Source organism: Homo sapiens, chromosome 20, assembly GCF_000001405.40.
Source record: "Homo sapiens chromosome 20, GRCh38.p14 Primary Assembly".
Lineage (NCBI taxonomy): Eukaryota > Metazoa > Chordata > Mammalia > Primates > Hominidae > Homo > Homo sapiens.
Genome location: NC_000020.11, coordinates 46969006 through 46995572, shown reverse-complemented (window position 1 = coordinate 46995572; position 26567 = coordinate 46969006). Strand labels below are relative to the sequence as shown.

General features: G+C 42.8%; 1 protein-coding gene across 5 annotated transcripts in view; it reads right to left on the bottom strand.

The window, feature by feature from the left end:
• EYA2 (EYA transcriptional coactivator and phosphatase 2) overlaps positions 1-26567 on the bottom strand; it is a 294002-nt gene that overhangs the window by 193272 nt on the left and 74163 nt on the right. For all 5 annotated transcript variants that reach the window (NM_005244.5, NM_172110.4, XM_017027721.3 and 2 more), the window contains exon 2: positions 5454-5572. In NM_005244.5, coding sequence (NP_005235.3) covers positions 5454-5562 — 109 coding nt within the window. In that variant the 5' untranslated portion in view covers positions 5563-5572. The remainder of the gene's footprint in view (positions 1-5453; positions 5573-26567) is intronic.

Genomic DNA, 26567 nt, shown 5'->3' with positions numbered 1-26567 from the left:
CTTGTGTGGGTGATTTAAATCACTCCCATACTAGGGACAGGGACAGCTGGAAAGACACCACACTAGGCATCCAGAAGTGGGTGCCCCAATTCTGACTGTCACTGAGAGGCTCTGTGACCATGAGCAAGCCCTTTGTCTCTTGCGGGAGGTGCCACTGAGGACAGAAAGGAATGAGGCTGCAAGTCCCAGACTGCGATGATTTTAGGGAGTCTATAAATACTCCCTCTTTGATTGAAATCGTTGCAAATTAATTTTATGTACATTAGAATCACAACAAGACCATCAAAGTCATAACGTTTCATTTCTGGAACTGGCTTAAGTCATCCTTTTAAAATGAATTTATTTCAAAGGAGTTGTTTTAAAGAAACAACAGGCCAGGCACGGTGGCTCATGCCTCTAATCCCAGCACTTTGGGAGGCTTAGGCGAGTGCATCACCTGAGGTCGGGAGTTCAAGACCAGCCTGGCCAACATGGTGAAACCCTGCCTCTACTAAAAATACAAAAATTAGCTGGGTGTGGTGGTGGGCACTTGTAATCCCAGCTACTCCGGAGGCTGAGGCAGGAGAATTGCTTGAACCTGGGAGGCAGAGGTTGCAGTGAGCCGAGATCGTGCCACTGCGCTCCAGCCTGGTTCGCAAGAGCGAAACTCGGTCTCAAAAAAAAAAAAGAACAAATTAGTACCAAGTGGCAGTAGAGGTGGTCTGAATATACGCCAGAAAGTGGCTCGAGACTATGACATTTGTGAGCTACTGCCATCAGTGGAAGCTCTTTACCTGTGGAGGCCACGATGGGATTAATAGCACCATTTCCTCCCACAAAGCGGGATTTCTGTTCTGCACAGGTAGAGGTTGTTCTGGGTGTGAACGGCTACAAAAGCCTTAAAGGTGAGAAGGATGAAGCTGACATGTGGTTCCCCAGGCCAGCACCTGGGCAAAGCTCTGGGCAGCTCAGCCTGGTTTGGATGAAATGAATCAAAACCCGTCAGCCCCGGGTTGGAACCGGTGAGACTGAAACTGAAAATGAGGTCTTGTCATGCCCAGGGCAGAGGAGGTGCAGGAAGTGAGAGCAGCTGACAGCCCAGCTTGTAGCGTAGGGTGGTGGTTTCACCTCTCCTTGGAAACAATGAGATTAGAGCATCAGTTTCTGAAAAATGCATGTGCATTTTAAAAGAAAAATTTTCCTCTATTCAGGGGAACTCCCCACCACCCCTTCCCAGAGACAGGATACAATCAATTCAAATCCATTTTTCCCTTGAATCATAAGGAATAATAGGTAATATTTCTCAAGTGGTTCCTACAAACAAACCAGGGTTACTGTGGCAAGGACTGCATGAGCATGATCTCTTTATTCTCCACAACAACGCAGTAAGGAAATTATTGTCATCAGTACGATGCAAATGTAGAAAATGAGGCAGGGGGAAGTGAAGGAAACTTTACTAAGGATTCAGAACCAATATCTCCCTAAAGTTATCTGGGTTCCTCAGCACCATTCTGTCTTCATCCACCTACCCCTTCACTCACCCAGAAATAATTTTTTAAGGATCTACCATGAGCCAGGCACTAAGTTGCATGCTAAACAGGAACAGAAATTTAAATATGCATATGTACATATGTTTGTATTAATATATGTAAAGTTTTTTGAGCACACTGCTGCCTCAGGGCCTTTGCACTTGCTGTCTTCTCTGTGCATACGGCTCTTGTTCTGTGTAGCCATGTGGCACCCTCCCTTACCTCCTACAGGTCTTAAGTGTTATCTTCTCAGGGACCTCTTTTCTAGCCACCCTAACAAAAACTGCAACCCTCCACTCTTGCATTCCTCATGCTCCTCCCCTGCCTTTTTCCTTCACAGCAAGCATCACTATGCAACGTGCTAAATACTTTGCTTCTTTATCGTCATTGTCAGCTTTTTGCTTTGTCAGCACCCTAGCGTGGGCTCCATGAGGATAGGGTTTTCTATGCTGTCTCCCTAGTACTTAAAACCATGCCAAGCACATGGCTGATTAAACATTTGTTCAATAAATGAATGAACAAATGAATGAAGGAAGGGGCAGTTCCTTTCATTAGGAAAGACCTCTCTGATGAGAACTGAGGGAGGGCTGGTCCTGCAGAGCCTGGGTGAAGACTGGTCCAGACAGAGGAAACAGCAGATGCAAAGGCTCGGAGGGCAGAATCATGCTTCTCAGTTAAAGCAAAGGAAAAGGGGCCAGGGGCTGGGCCCAAGGAGCAAAGGCAATAGGGACGGAGATGAGTTTGGGAGGCTTCCAGGGATAGACAAGTGGGGCCTGGTGGCCAAGGATAAGGAATTCAGATCTTGTTCTATACTTTTTAAGCACACTAAGTCCACTCCCTGTTTCAACTCATTTCATCCTCACATTGAGTCTGTGAGGTCGGTGGAATAATTACTCCCATTAAACAGATGGGGCAAATGGGTCTCAAGGAGGTTAGGCCACTAGCCAGGGTCCCACAGCTGGTAAGAAGCAGAGGTGGGAATGCAATGGAAGCCACTGGGGGGCTTCTTGGCTCCATGCTCCCTCCAGAATCCCCCTGAGTGCAGGTCCTGTGACTCATGACTCTTGGGGGTCCTCCTTTGAGTAGGACCTTTGAAGCCACCTAGTAAAGACTCTGTAATAGAAGGAATGGCCCAGGAGGAGGGAGAACAGTAGGCCAGGCAGGGGGAGAGGCATAATCCAGCACTTGGGGGTCATGCTCCAGGGTGGAATGTCCCCTGCAGAGTCTCTGGAGCTCACCACCTGCCCCATGAGAAAGAAAGTGTGTGTGTGTAACCTGACCTCACTGGCGCTACCTGTTCTGAATTTGGGAGCAACCTCTCTCTGCCTCATCGCTTCCACCCTCAAAGCCTTCACCATGGCAGCCAGATTGTTCCAGGGCAGTAGAAAGGGCACTGACAGCTCCAAGTCACAAAAAGGAGTGTGTCTGTGGATTTCACCACTGTGGGAGAATTGAAGATCCAGGGTCTGGAGACTCTTACAGCTTGGCAGAAAGTGAGTTAGAAGTGGTTTACAAGTGGGAACTCTGGAACCAGAGTGCCTGGGTTTGATTCTGGTGTGACTTTAACCTGGTTACGTAACTCCTCCATGCCCCAACTTCCATGTCTGTAAAATGGGCTCATAGCCTACCAGTTGTATAATAATTAAATGAGAAATAGTACAGAGTACTGATCAGGAGAATAAACTCTGAAGTCAGACTATCTAGGTTCAAATCTGGGCTATCACCTGTGCCATCTCAATCAAGCTGCTTAACCTCTCTGCATTTTGGTTTCCTCGTCTGTAAAATGGGGATAATAACAGTACCCACTTTTTAGAGTTGTGAAGATTAAATGAGTTAATAGAGCAATGCTGGGACACGACAAGTGCCGAGTGTTTGTTCTGATGGTGACAGGGAGGGAGGAGGAGAATGAATCTAGATTTATGTTGCTTTGAATAGTGCCTGGCAGAAAGTATGTGCTCATAACAATTAAGGACAAAAGGGAGAGGCGGGGATTCATCTACAGGACAGCAGCCTCTCAGCTCCTACTGGTGGCAGCCAGCGGGGAATGTGGGGGCCCAGGGTTGCTAAAGCTTTCAGCGTTTTTTTTTTTTTTTTTTGAGACGGAGTCTCACGTCTGTCGCCCAGGCTGGAGTGCAATGGTACGATCTCGGCTCACTGCAAACTCCACCTCTCAGGTTCAAGCAATTCTCCTGCCTCAGCTTCCCAAGTAGCTGGGATTACAGGTGTGTGCCACCACGCCTGTCTAATTTTTGCATTTTTAATAGAGACGAGGTTTCACCATGTTGGTTAGGCTGGTCTTGAACTCCTGACCTCGTGATCCGCCTGCCTTGGCCTCCCAAAGTGCTGGGATTACAGGTGTGAGCCACCGCTCCCAGCCAGCCTTCAGTCTTTTAAGATAAACCAGAACTCCAGATTTTTATGTGAATGCTCCCAATTTTTACAAATTCACTTTTACTTAAAACATAGTGTAAACCAAACAAAGACAAACTTCAGGGCCAGATGTGGCTGTGGGCTGCCCTGTGTGCAACCATGGTTTTGAATTTACTGTGGTTATTTGGTTCAGAGGAGAGTGACAATGGAATGGTACATTTAACCATGCACCATGCCCCCAAGGTGTGCCAGACACTTTACATCCCATCACCTCACTTCCTTCTTGCAATCAGCACCCTATGAAGTACGCCATTATGCCCCCATTTGACAGGTGAGAAAACTGAGGCTCAGAAAAGTTAAACAGTTTGCCTGAGATCATTTGGCTGAGAAGCAGTGGGCTGGGATTCCCCCCTGAGCAGCCTATGTCCTTTCCTGTTACTACGGGCTCTCAAATGAAGACAGTTGACTTGCGTCTCTACTTAAGTTGACTTGTGTCTCTATTTGGAAAGAAAATGATGAATGTCTTTGAACGGGGCTCAGTAAATTTTCTCAAACTCTCAAAGGCCCCTGGGCAGTTTACACGAATGGTCCAAAGTGCCAGGAAGAATGAGGGTATGTTCTTCACCATCCAGTTTTGGCATGAGAGCCCAAGCCACTGGTGGTACTTTCATCAGCGCAGTTCCAGCTCTGTAACCAGCATGCAAGGAGAAATGTCATTGTCTTGCTGACAGCAATAATTACTCATGGAAGCCTGGATTGGCTTCAAAGCCAATTCCTTGTGATGTTATATTCCACTAGATACGTGTCACTTTGGTTTTCCACGACAGTTACATAGCATTTGTGTCCCATGAGCTGGTGTCAAACAGATAATGAAGGAAAAACAACGAGGGGGTCTCAGGACAACAGCAGCAAATCCCAAAGCTGGCCAAAGAAAGGGTTAAGCCCAATGGTTAAACATAATAGCTTAATGCCTTTTGCTAACTCCAAGCTCTACCAGGAAGGCTGACAGATCTGAAACAGAACAAACAATAGCTGGAATTGTTCTAGTGAAAACTAGTTCGACTGCATCATTTGCCAATAGTTTTTTAAACAACTTTAATTCTTCTCTGCTTCCTTGACTCCAACCCGACCTGAAAGCAAGAGGCAGACGAGTTCTTGCCCTAATGTCAAACCCCTGTAAGCAAGACGCCTGCTTGGACAAGGGGATGGCAGAGCAGAGTAGAGAGGACAGAGCTCAGAGCCAGAAACAGACACTGCAAAACACATCCAAGGGCTGGGCCTGGGACACGCCCCAAAGTGACTATCATCCGTGGTGGTGTCAGCATTTCTTGGAATTGGAGACCAAGAAAGGAAGTTCAAGACACGAATGAGCACATTTTTACCTCTAACGATGAGACAGAGTTGTTAGAGATGTATGCCAAAGTTTTGGTTCAGAGGCAAGCATTTAAATGGCAGGGGGAGAAATTGTCCTAAGGACAGTACTTTGGAAAGGATGCGTGTCTGTTGCTTACGATATTCTCAGGGTGACCTAGGACCACCACACCTGTTGACCCAAACTCACAGCAGGAAGCCTACCTTGTCTGTCACTCAGAGTCCACACAGCAGCGTCAGCACGGTTAAACTTCAGTTTATCCAGACAATCGCTGTTTACAGTGAGGCTGGGTGAGATCACTAGTTCTACCATTTCCTTGTACCTGAAAGAAAACAAAGGGAAATATAATTTATTCATTAATTATGCATGCTTGCTAATGATTCCTATTTCTTTCCCTAAGAGTATAAATATTACAACTGATTACCTAAACCCAGACTTCTTATAAATTCTACATGATAAAAATTCACTCAACTTTTCATCAAAGGGAAATGAGAAATTAAAATGAAGTTCTTGCTCCCCGCTGGAGAATACACCCAGTTGATTAAAACATTCCCCTCCTTCTTGCTGTATTTTGCCATTAGAAAAATTATATTTTGGTCTCTCTTCAATGTCATATAAATGAGCCAGAGCAAACTAGGGCAACTTCCCAGCTGAGAAAGAGACAGACAGGCAGAGAGGGAGCGTTTGGATTTAGATTTCCAAAAGCCAGAGGCTTGGGGAGAACGTGGAGTTGACTGTGGTTAAGAGAGAAAAACAGGCCGGGTGTGGTGGCACATGCCTGTAATCCCAGCACTTTGGGACGCTGAGGCGGGTGGATCACGAGGTCAAGAGATCGAGACCATCCTGGCCAACATGGTGAAATGCCGTCTCTACTAACAAAAATATAAAAATTAGCTGGGCGTGGTGGCGTATGCCTGTAGTCCCAGCTACTCGGGAGGCTGAGGCAGGAGAATCGCTTGAACCCGGGAGGCAGAGGTTGCAGTGAGTCGAGACTGCGCCACTGCACTCCAGCCTCGCGACAGAATGAGACTCCATCTCCAAACAAACAAACACGGTACTACTTGCATGGACGGAGAAAAGCTCAAAAGGCGTAAGTGTCATTAACAACTCTCTAGGTGGCAACACTCAACAGCTCATCACTGTGGACCTGACCAAGAGAGAACATACTGGCTCCTGAATCACCCATGATTTTTATAATATGTTATGGGGGGCGGGCAGGGGAGAGTAGGGATGAGGTCTCCTTTGGTCTTTCTCATTTTTTAATTGAAAACATTTCTAATTCTTGCACCATGTTGGTAGTCACTCCTTCTAAATTCTGGCCAGGCATGGTGGCTCACACCTTCAGTTCCAGCACTTTGGGAGGCTGAGGCAGGCAGATCACTTGAGCCCAGGAGTTCAAGACCAGCCTAGGCAACATGGCAAAACCCCATCTCTACAAAAAAATACAACAAAGTTAGCTGGGCATGGTGGCACATGCCTGTAGTCCCAGCTACTCAAGAGGCTGAGGTGGGAGGATCACCTGAGCCAGGGTAGATGGAAGGTGCAGTGAGCTCTAATCGTGCCACTGCCTTCCAGCCTCTGTGACAGAGTGAGACCCTGTCTCAAAATAAATATTAATAAATTCCCACCCACTGGGTTTAGAAAATAAGGTTTCTGGTTAACGCACACACCACTGTACATGGCGTAGCAATTTTCCAAGGTCTGAACTACAACCAGTAACATTTAACCTGCAGTTGTCTTCAGAGAAAGGCTAAATTTATTGTGAGCACGTCGTTATCATAAGGTCATCCTTGGCAAGATCAGTTATTACTTGGTTAATGAAACACAACGTAGCGATCGCTGGTGTGGTGCTTATAAACTCAGATCCCATTGTAAAAAGGTTGCAAATTCACATCCCAGTGTGCTACCCACTACTTTGAGCAAGTTACCAAACTGCTCTAAGTCAAAAGTTTTCTCATCTGGAAAATGGTCACGGTGAAGATTTAAAAAGATGATTCATGTAAAAAAAAGCACTATTTTAATAGCAACTTAAATGCTTATTCAACATAAAGTTCAAAAATACAGCTGCCCCTCAGTATCCCAGGAGGGCTGTTTCCAGGACCCACCCCCGCCCCCCGCCATGGACACCAAAATTGGCAAGTGCTCAAGTACCTTATAAAAAATGGTAGAGTATTTGCATATAACCCACATACATCCTCCCATATACTTTAAATCATCTCTAGATTACTTATAATGTCCAACGCAATGTAAACACTATGTAAACAGTTGTTATATGCATTGTTTTAAAACATATATTATTTTTATTCTGTATTTTTTTTTTGCCCCATATATATATATATATATATATATATATATATAGAGAGAGAGAGAGAGAGAGAGAGAGAGAGAGAGAGAGAGAGAGAGAGACTTACTCTGTCTTCCAGGCTGGAGTACAGTGGTGCAATCTTGGCTCACTGCAACCTCTGCCTCCCAGGTTCAAGTGATTCTCCTACCTCAGCCTCCCGAGTAGCTGAGATTACAGGTGCACACCACCACACCCAGCTAATTTTTATATTTTTAGTAGAGACGGGGTTTTGCCATGTTGGCCAGGCTGGCCTTGAACTCCTGGCCTCAGGTGATCTGCCTGCCTCAGCCTCCCAAAGTGTTGGGATTACGGGTGTGAGCCACTGTGCTTGCCCCACTCCCCGAATATTTTTGATCTGTAGTTAACTGAATCCTTGAATTGGAACCAACTGTACTGTTAATGGACACAGATGCATTCCACAAAAACAAAATTACACTCAGGAATGATCAACACTGTTTTCAAGAGAATGGCTAACTCTGGGGGTAGGAGGGGATGTAATTTTGGAAGTGGCACCTGGGGGGCTCAGACTATGTAGTGCTTTAATTCAGGGGCTGACACTACCTATGGCCCGTAAGCCAAATCCAGCCCACAGCTGTTTTTGTGTGACCCAAGTCTGGAACGGCTTTCACATTTTTAAATGGTTGCAAAATAATCAAAAGAAGGATACTATTTCATAATATGTGAAAATGACACGAAATTCATATTTCAGTGTCCATAGGTAAAGTTTTATTGGAACACTGCCCTGCTCACTGGTTTACTATCCTGTCTGTGGTTACTTTCACACCACAGTGTTAAGCGGAGTAGTTTCAACAGAGACCGTGTGTGGCCTGCAGAGCCGAAGGTATTTAGTATCTGGCAGCAAAAGTTTGCCAACCCCTGTATCAGTTAAGCAGGATGCTGGGTACCCTACTTTTGTATGTTTTACCCATCTTTGTATGCCTGAAACACTTAATAATTTTTAAATAAGAAAGCCCTTATCTCAGGCTTGCACATAGGAAGTACTTTCTGTACATGGACTTTTTGATCTGATGACAGAATCCCACCCTGATATGGTTTGGACTTTGTCCCCTTCAACTCTCATGTTAAAATGTGACGTGATCCCCAGTGTTGTGGGGCTAGTGGGAGAGGTTTGGGTCATAGGGATGGATCCCTCATGAATGGCTTGGTGTCCTCTCCATGGTATGAGTGAGTTCTTGTTCTATTAGTTCACAGAAGAACTAGTTGTTTAAAAGAGTCGGGCATCTCTCTTGCGCCTTCTGTTACCGTGGGATGTGCCTGCTGGCCCTCCACCTTCCACTATGAGTAAAAGCTTCCCAAGGCCTCACCAGAAGCGGAACAGATACTGATGCCATGCTAGTACCACCTGCAGAACCGTGAGCCAAATAAATCTCTTTTTGAAATAAATTACTCAGTATCAGGTATTCCTTTACAGCAACGCAAAATGGGCTAATACACAAATCAGCTCTATTGTTTATATCTTTATATTGGAGAGAGATATATATATCTCTATATATCTAATGTATATATATACACATTAGATATATTATATATTATATATATAGATATTATATAGATCTATATATTATATATCGATATATAATACATAATATATAATATATCTAATGTGTATATATATACATTAGATATATAGAGATATTATATATAATATATAATATATACATTAGATATATAGAGATATATTATATATATATCTCCAGTGTTTATATAAATGTTGAGTCCTAAAATGTCCCCACGTATACATGCATCCTGGGTGCCTGTTTTCTTGTTTCTCAAATGCCACAGGCACTCCAGGATAGAGGCCTAGGTGTCTTGCTCCCTCTAATACATCAAAGCATATTGTATGGTGCTTAGCAAATGGTAGACATTGTATCTTTTATCTGGCTACAGGTGCCAGAAATTTGCATCTTATCTAAACTCATTCCCTTCATTCTTTTCGGTATGTGCAAATAATGAAAGGTTAAAAAAATAAACAATGAGGTTAAAAAATATCACTAGTTTCCAGATATCCAGATGCTATGAGAGTATTAGAAGCAGCAAATTGTTAGCCAACTGACCAAATGTGGTTAAAAACAAAATGAATTGTTTTCCCCACTCCCTAGGGTTTAAAAATATTTGAGGTAGTTGCCAATATTTAAAAATGAGACAATTTCACATAAAAATCTAGATTTTTGGCTTTTCTTGAAAATACAAGAGTATTGCCTTATTCTTGCATGGCAGCAACCAGCTGGCACTGAACAGTGGCGGCCCAATTAAGTCAAGGCATATGGGCTCCATTTTGTCACAGTCCCCACCACTCCCTACTCTCTTAAATTTGACCCTCTTTTTCCATTGGTATTTCCTCCTGGTCCCTATAGGCATTTGCATTTGAGAGCTATGTCATATGTATTATCAGAAAAGCCTGCTAAGGAAAGAGACGGCAGTGTGACACTTCTGGCCTCAGTCACGTAGCTTATTTACTTTACTGAGTGTTGCTGTCATCCTTAAGAGCTCTTACACATCCAAAACAGCATTTGTTGATTTTAAGCAGAGCAGGAATGTGTTTATGAGTCTGAACTCTGGGACAGAGTATTGCTACTAAGGCTTCTGGTGTATTCACCTTAGGCCCTTGCCTAAGGTTCTTGAAGGCCAAGCCAATGGGGAAATCATCTTTATTTCCTCCACAGCACTTAACACAGAATCTTGTTCATTCCATCATCCAGTTAGCATCTGTTGGAGGAAGGGAGGAAAGAAGGGGCAGAGGGAGAGAGAGACAGGGAGGAAGGAAATCTTATTTGAGCCATCACCTTCTTCCAACAAGATTTTTAAAAGTTCCCATTTATCCTTATTTTCCACCATGCCCTAGACAATGACTCTGACATATTAAATATGTAAATGTTTCCTTATAAATGATGCCATGTTGTTTTATGTGTGGCATGTGTTTTAATTTAATGAATAATGTGCACAATATCTCACTCTGTTTAGAAGGCTGTTTATTTTCAGTCTGCACTGATTTAAACATGTGTATGTTACTGGATGCATATCTAGCTTGTAGCTATAATTCTATACTGCACACCCACTCTATTGAATTTATGCATTGCCCTGGTGGTGAACAGCTAGGTAGCCTTTATCTCTCAGCCACCTTATAAACAATGCTGCAATGAACATCTCCATTCATCTTCATTTTTTAAAATGCAGTATCTCTCCCTATATATATGTATACACACACATTCCTAAAATGTATTTATAGCCAAGGTGGAGGATTTCTGTGTTATGGAGTATATGTGAACTGAACTTGAACAAGTACTAGCAGACTGTTCTTCATAACTCCTGTGCCATTCTAGATTCCACCAGAAGTACATAAGGGTTCCAGTTTCACAATTTCCTGCTAACACTTGGCACGGCCCCACTTTCTACTTTTTGCCAAACTGATGCATGGAAAGCAATAACTCATAGTTATTTTGATTTTCATTTCTAGGATTACTAGTGAGTTTGAGCATATATTCACATAATTGTGGGCCATATGAATGTTTGGAAATTGTCTGTTCAGATCTTTTATGCTTGCCCATTTTTCTACTGGGTTTTCTATTTTTTTTTTTTCTTACTGATTTGCTGGAGTGCATTACAGAGTCTAGGTATTCAATGTGTTTTTCGAATGCTGTAAATTTCTTCTCTTAGTCTTTCATTTGTCTGTTTTCTTTATTTCTATTATCTTTTGTAGAACAAAAAATCCTTACATATTTACCTAATAATTTCTTTTTGTAGGTGTAAAAATCCTTTCTCTATTCTTGGGATTTTAAAATTTGTCTACATGTTAAACTATTCACTTAGAATTTTACCTTTCATATTTAAGTCTTCAATTCATTTAGAGTCTGCCTTTTTATGTGGTTTAAAGTTTAATTTTTCTCCATATTGAAGAAAACAAAAATAAGCCATTTTTCCTAATATGTATTAAACTGTCCAACTGAGTGCACCTCCCAGCTACGACGGGATAGCTTGTATTTTTAGTCAACCTCACTATCATGATCAAAAATAACAGCTATAAAATATTGTCTTAAGGGATTGGAAGTCAACCAAGGCAGGTCCTGAGGGAACAAGATCCCAGAGAGATGAAAAACAGACCAAGTTTGACCTCTATCAATTTTCCCCTCAAGACACTTGCCAGTTTATAAGCAAAGAAGAAAAAAAGCAACAGCTTAGAGTTTTCCAGTCTTATGGGGCTGGGGAGAAAAAAACTGGAGTTCAGGATTACTAAAGTAGTTAGGACACAGGAGCAAAGATTGTAGAAATATGAGAACCACAGAGGTATGAGTCTCATATTGTTGAAAGTTATTAGCCTTGAGGCATTTGCTGATATCCAAGCTGGGTGCGGTGAGAGGCAGAGAAACCAAGCAAAAAGGGGGTAGCTATAAAGGCAAGAAATTAAGCAGAGCTTTTTTGCAGTTGCCTAATTACAGGAAGGCAAAAATTGGAATTCATGGCCAATAAGGATGAGGAGCCTTGAGAAACACTCAAAACTTTTAACTGGGACCCTAAAGGATTACTTCCTTGGAGTAACAGCAAACAAAATAGATCCTGCCTTGAGTCATCTCAATCTCATATTTGACCAAAGTGATTTGCCTCTACTATCATCAATAGCCAGCAGAAAAACTTTTCTTTTGGAGGAGATGTCATCTTCCAGAGTCTCCACAATGTTTTATACACAATAAAAAAATTACCAGGCATGCAAAAAGACAAAACCAAATGATCAAAAACCAAGACAAAAAACAAAAACAAAAACCTCACGAGATTCTGCTATTGAAGTTGTCAAACACGGAGTCCCTAGCAACTGTGATAATATAATAAAAAAATTGATTTAAGATGAGAATGCTGCTAAAAAAATCTAGGCTCTTTAAAAATGGAAATTACTGGTCAGGTGTGGTGGCTCACATCTGTAATCCCAGCACTTTGGGAGTCCAAGGCAGGTGGATCACCTGAAGCAGGAGTTTGAGACCAGCCTGGCCAACATGGTGAAACCCCACCTCTACTAAAAATACAAAAATTAGCCAGGTGTGGTGGCAGGTGCCTGTAATCTCAGCTACTTGGCAGGCTGAGGCAGGAGAATTGCTTGAACCCAGGAGGCGGAGGTTGCAGTGAGCCGAGATTGCACCATTGCACTCCAGCCTGGGTGACACAAGCAAAACTCTATCTCAAAAAAAAAAAAAAAGGAAATTACAGAACTGAGAAATGAAATAATTAAAATTAAGAACTCAATAGATCAGTTGAACTACAGACTGGATGTAGCAGATGAAAGAATTAGCAAACTGGAAGGTAAGTCAGTAAACAGATCTCAGGAATAAGGTTGAAAAACAGGTTTAAAAGAGCATAAAAGAAACATGGTACATGGTAAAAGATCTAGCACACATGTAATAGGAGCCACAGAAGGAGAGGAGAGAGAGAGCAAGTCAGAAACAATATTTAAAGAGAAACTGACAGAAGACCTTGCCAGATGGATGACAGATATCAAGTCATGGAATCAAGAAGTTCTGTGAATCCCAAAGATAAATACAGAGAAAAGCATTCCTGGGTATGTGATGGTTAAACTGCACATGTGCACAAATTAATCTTAAAAGCAGTCAGAGGGGGAATAAAAGACAATCTTTAAAGAAGGTATAATAAGACTGAGAAGCAGCTTCTCAGCAGAATTGATGGAAACCACAAAACAATGGAATTTCATCTGCCACTGTGGAATTCTATGCCAGCAAAAAAATACTTCAAAATGAAGACAAAATCAAAATGAAACAAACCAAAATTAAGATTGTTTCCCATCAGTAAACCTGCACTAAAAAAGAATATTCTGGAAACACGAAAATTCAGCAAAGATAAAGAACAACATAAAAGGGTAAATATGTGAGCAGGAGGATAGATAAATACAATTAACATGTTTTAAGGACCTTGCATTTTCTTGGAAATGGTAAAAGTACTAATTTATAGTAAACTTTTAGATATATCAAGAATGTATCCTATAATATTTAGGATAACCACTTAAAGAATAATAATAAATGTAAACATTTCATGTATGTTTATATTACATTAGTTACAGTAAATGCAAACAGAATAAATACAACACTTGAAAGACAAAGATCACCAGACTGACTTTAAAAACCTAACTACATGCTTATTACAAGAGACCCCTTTTAAATATAAAGACATACCAAGATTCAAAGCAAGGATTCAATAATATGAATACAACACAATACCCCAAATAGATTTTAAAATAAAAACCATTATTAGAGATTTACAGGGACATACAATAATGATAAAATAATCCACCAATATATGATAATTTAAAAGTTTATTTTTTCCAAAATTAATGTGCATGAAGAAAGGGACTTGACTGATTCTAGGGCTCTGTTAGACCTAGAATTAGATCTGCAAAATCTAAAATACCTATAGCAATTAAAATACCTATAGCAATCAAAACACACCATCCTTTGGAGGCAAATAAATGAACAGCACTAATAAAGCCAAAGCTACAGAAATATTAATCTTCACAAAGTAAACATGACCCTGACTTGAGAACCTGACAATTGTTCTTTCCTGCTGTCAGCTACAGCTACAGGCACTGGTGACTTGCAGAAGCAAACTATTAGCCACAGAGTATAGGAATGTGAACAAGCAACTCAAGGCAACTCAGTTTCCAGAGTTAGTAAAACCCTTCCAAAAATTCTAGTCATGGTTCTCATTTCCCAAGCACCTATTATACACCAGGCAATTTTCCTGATCACATTTACATGATCTCTTTTAATTCTCTCAACCACGCTGGGAGATAGAAGGATCTGTCCTGTATTTCCTCAAAGGCCGACTAAACACAGATTTAAGTCTGAGCAAAGTCTAGACACCAAGAAAACGTGAAATCATTCCTGTTTGGTGAACTTATCCTGTTCTGCCATGAGGATCTAAAAAGAAGCTTTTCAAATGTCAGCGCACTCCACCAATTGATGGATGGATAAAGAAAATGTGGTATGCATATACACTAGAATATTATTCAGCCATAAAAAACAATGAAATCCTGTCATTTGCAGCAACATGGATGGAACTGGAGGTCGTTATGTTAAGTGAAACAAGCCAAGGACAGAAAGACAAATATGGCATGTTCTCAATCACATGTGGGAGCTAAAAAAGTAGATCTCATGAAGATAGAGAGTAGACTGTGATTACTGAAGGCCAGGAAGGGTGGTGGGGAGGATGAAGAGAGGTTGATTAATGGGTACAAATATACAGTTAGAAGGAATAAGAGCTAGTGTTCAATAGAACAGTACGGTGACTATAATTAACAATAGTTTATCACACATTCAAAATAGCCAGAGTATAGAGTAATTTGAATGATGCTAACATAAAGAAAAGATACATATCTAAGGGGATGAAATCCCAATTATGCTGATTTGATCTGTATACATTATATGAACGTATCAAACAGTCACATGCACCCTGAAAATATGTCCATCTATTATGTATCAATAAAAAACAAAACTAAACAAAATTGTAAAAAAAATTTCAGCACAGCGAGTTTTTTGTCTTACGAACCACACCGTTTTATTATTGTATTGGAGGAGACAATGGAGGAGAGAGGCCAGTCTCTGGTGTTTGAGGCTGCTAAAGGTCTTAACCTGGCCCTAATTATATTGCTTAGTTTACAGATACTAGAAATAAAAACAGCTCACAGTTACAGAGCATTTACGCTGAGGCTTAAATCTCTCTGCATGCACTGGCTCGTTTCATCCTATGAAGTAGGTAGAGATAAGGAGACAGGTTCAGAGACTGACCTGGCTAGTCAGTGGTAGAGTCAGGATTCTCAACCAGGTGATCTGGCTCCAGATCTGTGCTCTTAACCACAGCTTGCAAATAGCTCTGGATCACAATTTCAACTCAGGGCCCATCCAGCTCTAAAGTCTACTAAGCTACCCAGTCAGAGCACCAGACGTGTTATCTGCTCCAGGGGTTCAAATCCCAGCTATGTCGTTATCAGCGGTGTAACCTTGGGCAAGTTATTTCACTTATCTGAGCCTCAGTTCTATAAGATGGAGAAAATAATACCCTCCCCGCCAGGTTATTCTGAGAAAAATGAGTCAGAGAAGGCACGAGTGAGTGGGTATTCAACAAAGGGCAGCTGAGATTATTTGCATGCACACAGACAAAGGCTTGAAACACACCATTCGTTTCATTCCAGGTAGACACTGGAAACTGTCATCAGGATCACCCGGAAACCACTGGTTCCTATTGTGGTTTGAGGGGCAGAGTTGAGCTCTGCTGCACTTTGGTGGGGAAGGCTTCCTTCACATTCTCCCCACTCTTCCCCACCTCACAATTACCTGAAATTGGAGACCAGCTTATTCTCTATGCAGGGGAAGGAAGAGAGAACTCAGACAGCCTTCAAGGAATCTGGGGTAGGAGAAAGACTTAGCTTCCCTTTCACGAAGGCAGGGAAGGGAAAGGAAGGAAAAGCATGGAATTCATTTACAAAAAAAAAAAATTCTTTCTTTGTTGCATTGTTGCAAAACCCTGATAGCCTGGCTACTTCAGAAGACAGCCTGAAGGAGCGGGAAGAAAGAGGCATTCAGGAACACCCTCCCTCTGGCCCCCTTGGCCTGCTGCTGCCTGCGGCTTGTGCCATTTGTTACCCTTGTCACCACCCCTGTCCCTGGGGACTGGGAAGAAGTGGGGGAGCCCGAGAGATGACAGCTGGAGGGTGGGGGCAGGGGCAGCTTCAAAGGCTGGGAGGGATCAAAAGCAGATGGAGGGTCCCAGGCGGGTGGGCCGCTCACCTTTCCACACCCCCGTGAGTACACCAGCTACCTTGGCTGAGGATGGTGGCCCTGTCTGTCAGATGCAGAGGACAGATGGCCAGTCGGCTAAGGGGACTTTGGAGAGGGTCACTCCCAGCATCCTTCACGGGCTGAGAAATCAAAGCCTGCTGACTTCAATCACAGGCTTCTGGACAGACAGCAGCTGTGGCCCAAACCTGGACGTCTCTGACAGCCTCCACCAGCCTCATTCAATTTCCATTCAAAATACATCTGTGAATCACAAACCATCTTGGCTTCCCCCATTTCGGGGGCAGTTGCTCAAACCAAAAGCTCAGGATTGCTCTTACTTCTCCCTCTCCTTCAATGCTCACGTCCAATCCATCTCCAGGCCTTATAAAGTTCACCTCCATGGCCATCGCCCAGGTCCAAGCCACCATCCTCTCTGCCCAGGAAGACCACGGCAGCCCCCCTGCCCACCTCCCTGGGGCCACCGGGGCCTCCCTCCAGTTTGTTCTCTGTGCAGCAAATGACAGCATAAATCTGAACCTGCCCGCCTCACCTCATCCTTGCTTATAACCTCTGACGGCTTTCCATTGCTCTTAAGATAAAGCAAAGAGTTCCGAACACAGCCTTGATCTGGCTTCTCCTTGTCCAATATCTGATTCCAGCACGCTGGCCTTTCTCTCGCTCCACACTCCCTCTTGCCACAGGGCCTTTGTACATGCTGTTCCCTCTGCCTGGAACTCCAGTCCCTCCTGCTCACCCTGCAGAGGCCTCAGTTCCGGCAGGATTTCCCCAGGCTCTCCCTGAGTAAGCGATTTCCCTCCTGCAGCTTTCACAGGCCCATGGCCCTCTATCACACACACCAGTCACTGTAACAGTTTTTACAGGTGTTTGTGAGTTATTTAATTTCCCTAGGTCTCCCCATGACTCTCAGTCCACGTGGCTTGGCTGGGACTGACCCTACTAACAAGCTCTGAGCCTGGCAATTAGCATCTCCCATTCCTCGGTCTACAGTGATTGGCTCCAGGGTGGTGGTCACGTGAGCCACCTGGGGCCAACGGGAGGCCCAAGATGAACTGCTGGAGAAGAGACGTTCTCTCCTGCTGCACACAAGCCCTGGAAGATGCCTACCTGGAGCCGTGGGCAGACCCTTGCCTGCGGGACTGCAGACTGCCTTTTGTTTTGATACAGGTATATCACGCCCCAGGTGTTCAGTGTGAAAAATTAGAGTAGGAATCAGCTGTGGGTCCAGCCAGTGAAATTCAGGTGCTGTTGTCACTTCAACAACTTTGGGGAAGAACTCCACAAGCCACAAGGAAGTGATCACAAATCCCTCCTCCTGTCCACACCTCCATCCTCCCCTACCCTGTCTCCCTTAACATGGGGAAGTGTCATTGAATAGAAGTTGTGGGGCAGGGCTGCAATGTGTTGGGAATCATCTCCCCAGATAAATAAGGCAAATTCAGTTTCCTTTGCAAAGGCTAGAAGGCAGATAAATGGATCAGGAACACAGCTGACACTAAAGCCATTCACTGATTCATTCATTGAGTCAGGCTGCCCATCATTTAGAATCACCGATGCTGTTTACATAGCACACCAAAGAGCAAAGCTGCTACTCCTTCACTAATTGATTTCATCTTTCCTCCCCTTCCCCTGTCCTTTAAGGGCCTTCAAAGAACCAGGGACTGTCTCAGACATTGAGGATACAGTGTCCAACCAGACAGACAAGTTCCTGCTCTCCTGAAGTTGGCATTTCAGAGTGGGATTTGCTATCCAGACTTAGTAGGAATTCCTCAACAGGTGACCCCAACTAGTCCACCTGTGCCTCCTCCTGCTGAGATAAGAACTGCATGGCCCTTTTTCTTTTAAAATAGAATTTTGGTTACCCAAATAACATCTAAAAATATTTGTAAATACATTTTAAAATTTCAGATAAGATTACAGCCACATTGGGGCACTACCTCCTACCAGATGTATCCACAATTAATAGGATAAATAGCTTATAAACACAAACACCCACACACCTTCATTAAAATATACAGTACTGTTTTTACAAATGTGTTTTGTGAATGTGTTGTTATCGCTATTGATCTTGTACATCTTGTTCCAGGATGTTTTTTCACTCTAATAATAAAATACCTTGGTGTTCATTCCATGCCATGACACAGAAATCTAGTTTATTCTTTCTCACTGCTGCATGGTATCTGCAGGTATGTCTATTCCACAGTTCACCTGTCCAGTCCTCAGGGGTTCCATGTTGTTGTTATGAGAACGAATTCCACATGACTGGAGCAGGTCTTCTTGGGTGCACGTGCCTGGAGTTCTCTAGAAGTGATACCCCAAGGAAAAACTGCTGGGCCCCCCAGTTTAAAACTGAAAAACCCGTTTGCATGTCGCTCCTCAGAGCGGTGAGTCCAATCTATATTCCCCACGGAATGTCCCATGTCTTCATCCCTTGTGCTGTTTTTACTCCCTGATTGGAAAGCTTTATCCAAAAACTCTCTTAGGGTCCGGGCATGGTGGCTCACGCCTGTAATCCCAACACTTTGGGAGGCCACGGTGGGTGGATCACGAGGTCATGAGATCGAGACCATCCTGGCTAACACGGTGAAACCCCGTCTCTACTAAAAATATAAAAAATTAGCCAGGCGTGGTGGCGGGCACCTGTAGTCCCAGCTACTCGGGAGGCTGAGGCAGGAGAATGGCGTGAACCCGGGAGGCGGAGTTTGCAGTGAGCCTAGATCGCACCACTGCACTCTAGCCTGGGTGACAGAGTGAGACTCCATTTCAAACAAAACAAAACCCAAAAACTCTCTTAGGAAGACATAAACAGTTATTCTATTTTTATAGATACAGGGCCTTGTTGTGTTGCCTAGCAAAATCCTGGTGTCCACCTCCTGGGCTCAAGCAATCCTCCCACCTCGGCCTCCTGAGTAGCTAGGGCTACAGGTGTGCACCATCACACCTGCCTAGTGTTTTCATTTTTATTTTTTTGTGGAGACAGGCATCTCACTTTGTTGCCCAGGCTGGTCTCCAACTCCTGGGTTCAAGTGATCCTCCTACTTCGGCCTCCCGAGGTGCAGGGATTACAGGCATGAGCCGCCGCACTCAGCTTACATAAGCAATTGCATAAGCAATATGCCTCCCCAGCAGCCTATTCAGAGCACCATCCTTCAGCCAAGCGGACTGAGTCCTAGGGAGTCCTATGACAAAAGGAAACCAGCTTGAGTCTTGAATCTCAATTCCAGACTAAATTCTCTCAACTATGCTTGATGAATTCTCATTCATATGAGCTTGGCATACAATAAAAAATAAAAACAGCTGGTGGGAAAGCTTTTACTCTACTTCCTCCTGGGTTCAAGTGATTCTCCTGACTCAGCCTCCCGAGTAGCTGGGATTACAGGTGCACAGAACCACGCCCGGCTAATTTTTGTATTTTCAGTAGAGATGGGGTTTTGCCATGTTGGCCAGGCTAGTCTCGAACACCTGACCTCAGGTGATCCACCCGCCTCAGCCTCCCAAAGTGCTAGGATTACAGGCATGAGCCACCTTGCCCAGCCTGTTTCCCTCATTCTTGATCGCATGTAAAACAAGGGCCCATCATTTGGTCAATCAACCCAATTTTGCTGTCCCTGGTATTTTTAAAAACTTTTTTCATTTTATTTGATTTTATGTATTTTATTTTTTAAGAGACTGGATTTCACTGTGTTGCCCAGGCTGGTCCTGAACTCCTGGGCTCCAGCAATCCTCCTGCTTTGGCCTCCCAAAGTGCTGGGATTATAGGCATAAGCCACTGTGCCCGGCCAAAACTTTTTATTTTGAGATAGTTTTAGATTCACAAAAAGTTGCAAAACATAGTACAGAAAGGTCCTGAGTACCCTTCACCCAATGTCTTCCACCCTGTGATTACATCTTACATAACCATAGTACAATGTCAAAGCCAGGAAACTGAGGTTGGTGCAGTGTGTGTGTAGCTCTGTGTCATTTTATCACACATGCAGCTCTGCGTAACCACCACGGCAATCTAGAGAACGATTCCATCACCACAAAGATCTCCCTGTGCTGCTCCTTCATAGGCACACCCACCCCAGACCCACCCGACCCAAAACCCTTAACTCCTGGCAACCACTAACCTGTTCTCCATCTCTAAAATGTCATTTTGAAAATGTTATATAAATGGAATCACGCAGTATGCAACCTCTTGAGATCAGCTTTTTAGAAAAACACATGATGCAAGTTCAGATGTCTGCATTTTACGATGCGTGTTCCAATATTCTCTAGGCCCACAAAAGGCAACCTTCAAAAAGGCACCCAACGTGCAGTGACAGACTCGGACAGGACCACACATGTTCTGCTTGATTCCTGGTTGGGTTCAGCAGGGCCCTGGAGCAAAATGTAGAACTTTATAAAATATGTCTCATGCAGAGCCATTAAAAAGAAAAAAAGAAAAGCCAAACCAAACCCACACCCCAACCCACAACCACCAAAACAAGGCACAAAGCAAAACACCAAGGACTCTTCCTGTAAGGGAAGAGTCCTTCCTGCCAAGGATGGCTGGACAACACGAAGTGCTTGAGGCCACTGGGGGAGTCCTGGAATCCTGGAGTCCTGGTATCCTACCAAGAGGCAGGCAAGAGATCCAGGGAGGAAAGAGAATCCTCAGGTTGCAGAGGCATTTTGCTTTCAGATACCACACCAGCAACATTACCCTTCACTGTTTACCTCTTCCTTTCCTTCATCCCAACCATAGCCCATTGCAATGACCTGGACCCAAGTGAGACCACTAAAACTGTGGTGAGCTTTGTTCTGAGTCTACAGAGCAAGGGCATTTTTACTGGGGGAAGAGAAACAGGCAGGAGAGAAATGTTGGAAAATGGGTAAGAGAAACTGAATATTGGAAACCAAATATGAGAATATCTTCACTTGGTCCAAATTATTTGTGCCCCCATGAAGCTCTGACCACCATGAAAGTGAAAATAATAGTAGTTCACGTAGACTAAGCACTGTCTATGAGCCAGACATTGTTTTAAGTGCCTTTCATATTTGAGTCCCCTTAATCTTCCCAATAGCCCCTATAGAACTTTAATCCCATTTTACTGATAAGGAAAGTGAGGACAGAAATTGAAGACATTTGCCTAAAATCAACGGTAAGTAGCAGAGATGGATTGAGAGCCCCGTGCTTTCAATGTTCCACTCTTCTGCCATCTGCCACTGACAGCAGCAGATGTCTTAAAATTAATCTTTTCTAATGACTGAGCTCCTCTAATTACATCATTACCCCGAAATTGAAAGAGCCATGCAGCGATTCATGAGTTTTTTTAAAAATGTTTTTATTCTTGTTTTGAGGTTGGCTGAATTTTATGCAATTTCATACGATGAGGGTTTTTTTTTTTTCCTCCTTCTCTTTTGGTCAGACGGCTTCATAGTGGGGCTAGAAGTTTTTTTAATGAAAAATTTCCAACATATACAAAAGCAGACAGAATAGTGGAATGAACTTCTGTGCACCCATTACTTAGACTCAACAATGTTCACGGTTTTTCCAAATGTGTCTCTTCTCAGAATTTTGGTTTGTTTACTTTTCTCTTTGCTGAAGTGTTTAAAACAAATTCAAACTTGAAGTCTCTTCTCTCCACCACACCTCATTTAAAACTATGGAGATTTTCTATTATCACATCTAACAAAATTCACACTCACTCCTTGTGTCATCGTGAACACAGTCCACATTCAATCTTCCCCAATTGTCTCAACATGCCTTTGTAAGGGTGGATTGTAAGATACGGAATCTAAACGAAGTCTGCACAGTAGATTTGCTTATTGTATCGCCTACATTTATTTAATCTAGAATAGCCTCCCCCTCCTTTTTATACAGACTCTTGATGTGTTGGAGAAACTAGGTTAGTTGTGTTGTAGAATATCTCACGTTCTGTATTTGTCTGTCTGCCTGTTCACGGTGTTGTTAATGCATTTCTCTTTTCATTGTATTTCCCATAAATTAGCTTGAAATGTGATTAGGTTCAGAGTAATTTGGGGGAGGGCAGCAATGCTCTGGAATTTGTGCTGGGCTCTCACCATTGCATCTCATCAGGAGTCCCAGGTGTGTCCCTCCTAGTGACACCACGAGGGCCCTTGTGTTCAGGTAGCACCACCTGCTTCCTCCATTATAAAGTTCCCCATTAACCTCCGATCTGATGGTTTCATCCACTAATGTTTGTGGCCTGAATCAATTCTTTCATTAGGAGTTTAGAAACTTTAAAATATTTATTTGGAAAGAAGAGAGATATTCCAGAATATTCCAATAATGTTAATACATTTGTTCAGCATTGACATTCTTGAAAGTTGCTGTCAAAATTCTTTCCTCATTGCACACTCCCAACCAGACTGTGAGGTAGGCAGAGCCGGCAGGAACCTGGTACAGTGGTGACTAAGCAGCTACCTCAGGTGCCCAGGTGCCTGAGTTCAAATCCTGGCTCTGCCACTTGCTAATGGTGTGGGATCTTCCTTGACTTCTCTGCTTCAACTTTCTCACTTGCCAGGTGGGGATAAAAAGGGTCCCCACCTCCTGGGGCTGCTGTGGGGATAAAATGACTTACTACTTGTGTAGTTCTGAGAGCAGAATAGGATACAGAGTAAGTGCTCTTCTCCATCCTTAAAAGTGAAGAAACTGGGAGGCCAAGAAATCAAGTAAGTTTCCTCAGGTCCCACAGCTAATGACAGGCAGAGCCGGAACAAGGTGCAGATCTCATTTCACCACATGACACTGTGCCAATGGAGTGTTTTTCCACATTCCATGTTTCCTAATTATTTTGAAAATGATTGCAAATAATTAGGAAAACTACCTTTTGGTCATAATGACTTGGAGTAATTAATACCCAAATGACCTAATATAACACTTAATCCAAAACCCTTCCCACCCTCTAATCGCACCTTCTGGAAGTTCTGTTCTTATAGCTTCTCCTGCAGGGACATTATCCTTTTTGCTGTTATTTAAACCTAGTGTGTTGGTTCCCACTTTATAGGTTTTGCACTTGCTGTTCCTTCTGCAACAAATCCTCTTCCACCTGTGGTGTTTTCTCAAACGTCACCTCCTCAGAGATTCCTTTCTTGATCATATTGTTAAACTCTTCCTACATCCCCCTAATCACCCCCTGCTTCCTATCCCATGATTGTGTTTTATTTGCCTTCTTAATTCTGATCACTATCTTAAAATATACTGCATATTTCTCTGTTCACTGTCAGAGGCTGGGGGCTTTGTCTGTCTTGTCACTCCTGTGTCCTTAGCATCTAATAAAGTAATTGTAATCAGCACTAAACAGTCAGGCAATGAGTACCAGCGAAATGAATATTGAAAAATGACACTACAGCCTCACAGTGTTACATACAAGGATCATGCATGCACCACTTATCAGAACATTTTTTATATTTAATTCTCTTTACAAAAGAGAAAATACACATGCTAATGGTAAAACAGTCAGAGCAACATATAATGTGAAAAGATAAGTTCCCCATAGTCCCACTGATCTGTGCTAATTATCATTCACAGTTTGAGTACACCGTGGTAGAGATTGTTAGGTGATCCCCAATATTCTTTCTCTTCTCTCTTCTACAAACAACTGATTCTTAGCAGGGCACTCAGCTACCCAGAATAAAGACTACATTTCCCAGGTTCCCTTGCAGTTAGGCTGTGGTCATGTGACTAAGCGCAGTCACTAGGGTGGAATCAAAAGTGATGCAAGTAACATGTAGGTTAGGTCCTTAAAGGAATGGGGTGGACCTTCCTCTTTTTCCCATTCCTATTGGATAGAACGTCATGTGATGGAGTGCCATCTTGGACAATGAGGAAAAGAGCAGCACCTTAAGGATGAGGAAACAAGTTGAAAGGAATCTGGGCTGCTGATGACTTTGCAGAGCAGAGCTGCTGCTCAGACTCTTAGATGAGAGAGAAATAAACTCCTAGGTTATTTATGCCACTGTTATTTAAGCTCTTTGTTACACAGAGCCAAATCTACATCTGTCTGTATTTTTCTATCTACTCACCATCTCTTATCTCCCACCAGATCTTCTTCAGTGCATTTACGTGTGTGTGCATGTGTGTGTGTGTGTGTGTGTGTGTGTAGCAACTTTATGGAGAATTTCAAAAACACTGCAAAAATACTCAGACTCATCTAATGAGCTTTCCTAAACTCATCACACAGCCCCAGCACTCATGGCCAGTCCTGCCCCATTTCCACTCCATCTATTTCCCCCGTCATAGTATTTTGAAGCAAACCCCATAATATCATTTCATTTGTCAATATTTCCGTGTAAGTCTCTCTCTAAAAAAAGACCCTTTTTTTGAAAACATAGCCACAATATTCCTTAACATTAAGGCACAAAATTCCTTAATATCACCAAAAACATAATGGTTTAACAAAAACTCTGTTGTGTTTGTTTTTATTTCCATTTAAAAATACATCCTGGACAGTTTTCGACATCAGTACACATGGAGCCGCCTGCTTCTTCTTCAATGTCTGCATAGTATTCCACTGAAATAATGTAGCAGAGTTTATTATTTAACCATCCCCCCACCAATGTACATCCAGGTTATTCACAGTTTGGGTTTTTTTACCCTATTTTAATCAATGATGAAACGAACGTCTCTCTATCTCAGAAATTCTCAGCCTTGGCACTATTGAGGTTTTTGGGCTGGGTGATTCTTTGTTGTACAGGGAATTGCAGGCTGTTTAGCAGCATCTCTGGCCCCTGTCCTCACCAGTTACCAGTAGCTGCCCTCTCCCCGAGTTGTAACAACTAAAAATGTCTCCAAACATTGCAAAATGTCCCCTGGGGTCAACATCAACCCTGGTTGAGAACCTCTCCTCTATTTTTATATACACTTAAACAAGCAGAAAACCCTAATTTCTATAGCAGAGGACAGTAGTGAAATGGAAACAGAGAAATTTTCAAAATGGTGGCTATTTGAGAAAAAGATGAATTCACATTCGCTCTGGATTTTAGGAAGTACTTTCACCGCGCTTCAGTCGCGCTTAACTATGGCAATCTGAGAACTGATTCTTCACCAAGAACTGCAGTCGGTGTCTGCAAATGTACCATATAAATCAAAGACCCTTTGAGTTGATCTATGTTTTAATATTATGCCTCAGGTCAGAAGATCCGACGGAAGAACATGAGATGCATTTTATAAAAGTAGCCTTAGAGATGGGAACATCGTAAGTTTTATGGTCTAGCACACTTTTAATTATAGGATTATGTTTCAGGGAACATGTGTGACCTCTGCATGCCCCTTCACCCCCTTACATTTAATAGTAAATTATATTATAATGATGTTTGTACACAAATGGTGGAGGGACTTCAGATTCTAAGTAAAGCCTAAACTCAACAGCCTGAAGCACATTCCCTTGCCCAGGTTTAACATCCAGCCAGAACCTGCTAAGAAAAATTAAATGAACCCCCAAAGAGTGCATTGTGGGGCTGAACCAAGCCAAGGGAATTAACTCCTAAAATAGATTTGAGGCTCCTGAGTTAGCTTAGTTCAGCTTTAGCTTCCAGTGCTGAAGTCTGGGATTTCTTGGGTAGTGAAACCAAAGCCATAGTAAAAACAAATAAAAAACAACAACAACAAGACACATAAGTAAACAAACAAAAACAAAAGAGGAGAAACAAAGACAGAGGAAGGCAGGGAAGAATGAAAGAAACAAGAGAAATCTATAAAAAAGTTATATAGCTAATCAAAGGGATTTAAGTCACTTATTCAGTCAACAAATACTACAGAGAACCTACTATGTGCCAGCACTGATTTAATTCCTGGCAATCGGCCGGGCACGGTGGCTCATGCCTGTAATCCCAGCACTTTGGGAGGCTGAGGCAGGAGGATGGCTTGAGCCCAGGAGGCGGAGGTTGCAGTGAGCCAAGATTGCATCACTGCACTCCAGTCTGGGTGACTAAGTGTCAAAAAAACAAACAAACAAAAAAAAAACCAAAAACAAAACACAAAAAACAAAAAAAAATTCCTGGCAATCCAGTAGCGGAGGAAGACAGATGGAGCCTCTGACTCCCAGAGCTAACACCCTGGTAGATTTCACCTTGGATCAAGGAATTCTCTTTTGCTGGTAAAAAAAATCCCAGCTAGCAGTTCCTGTTAGCTGAAAACAGACAAGAAAGAGCCGTGTAGGTCAAATCATCACACCGAG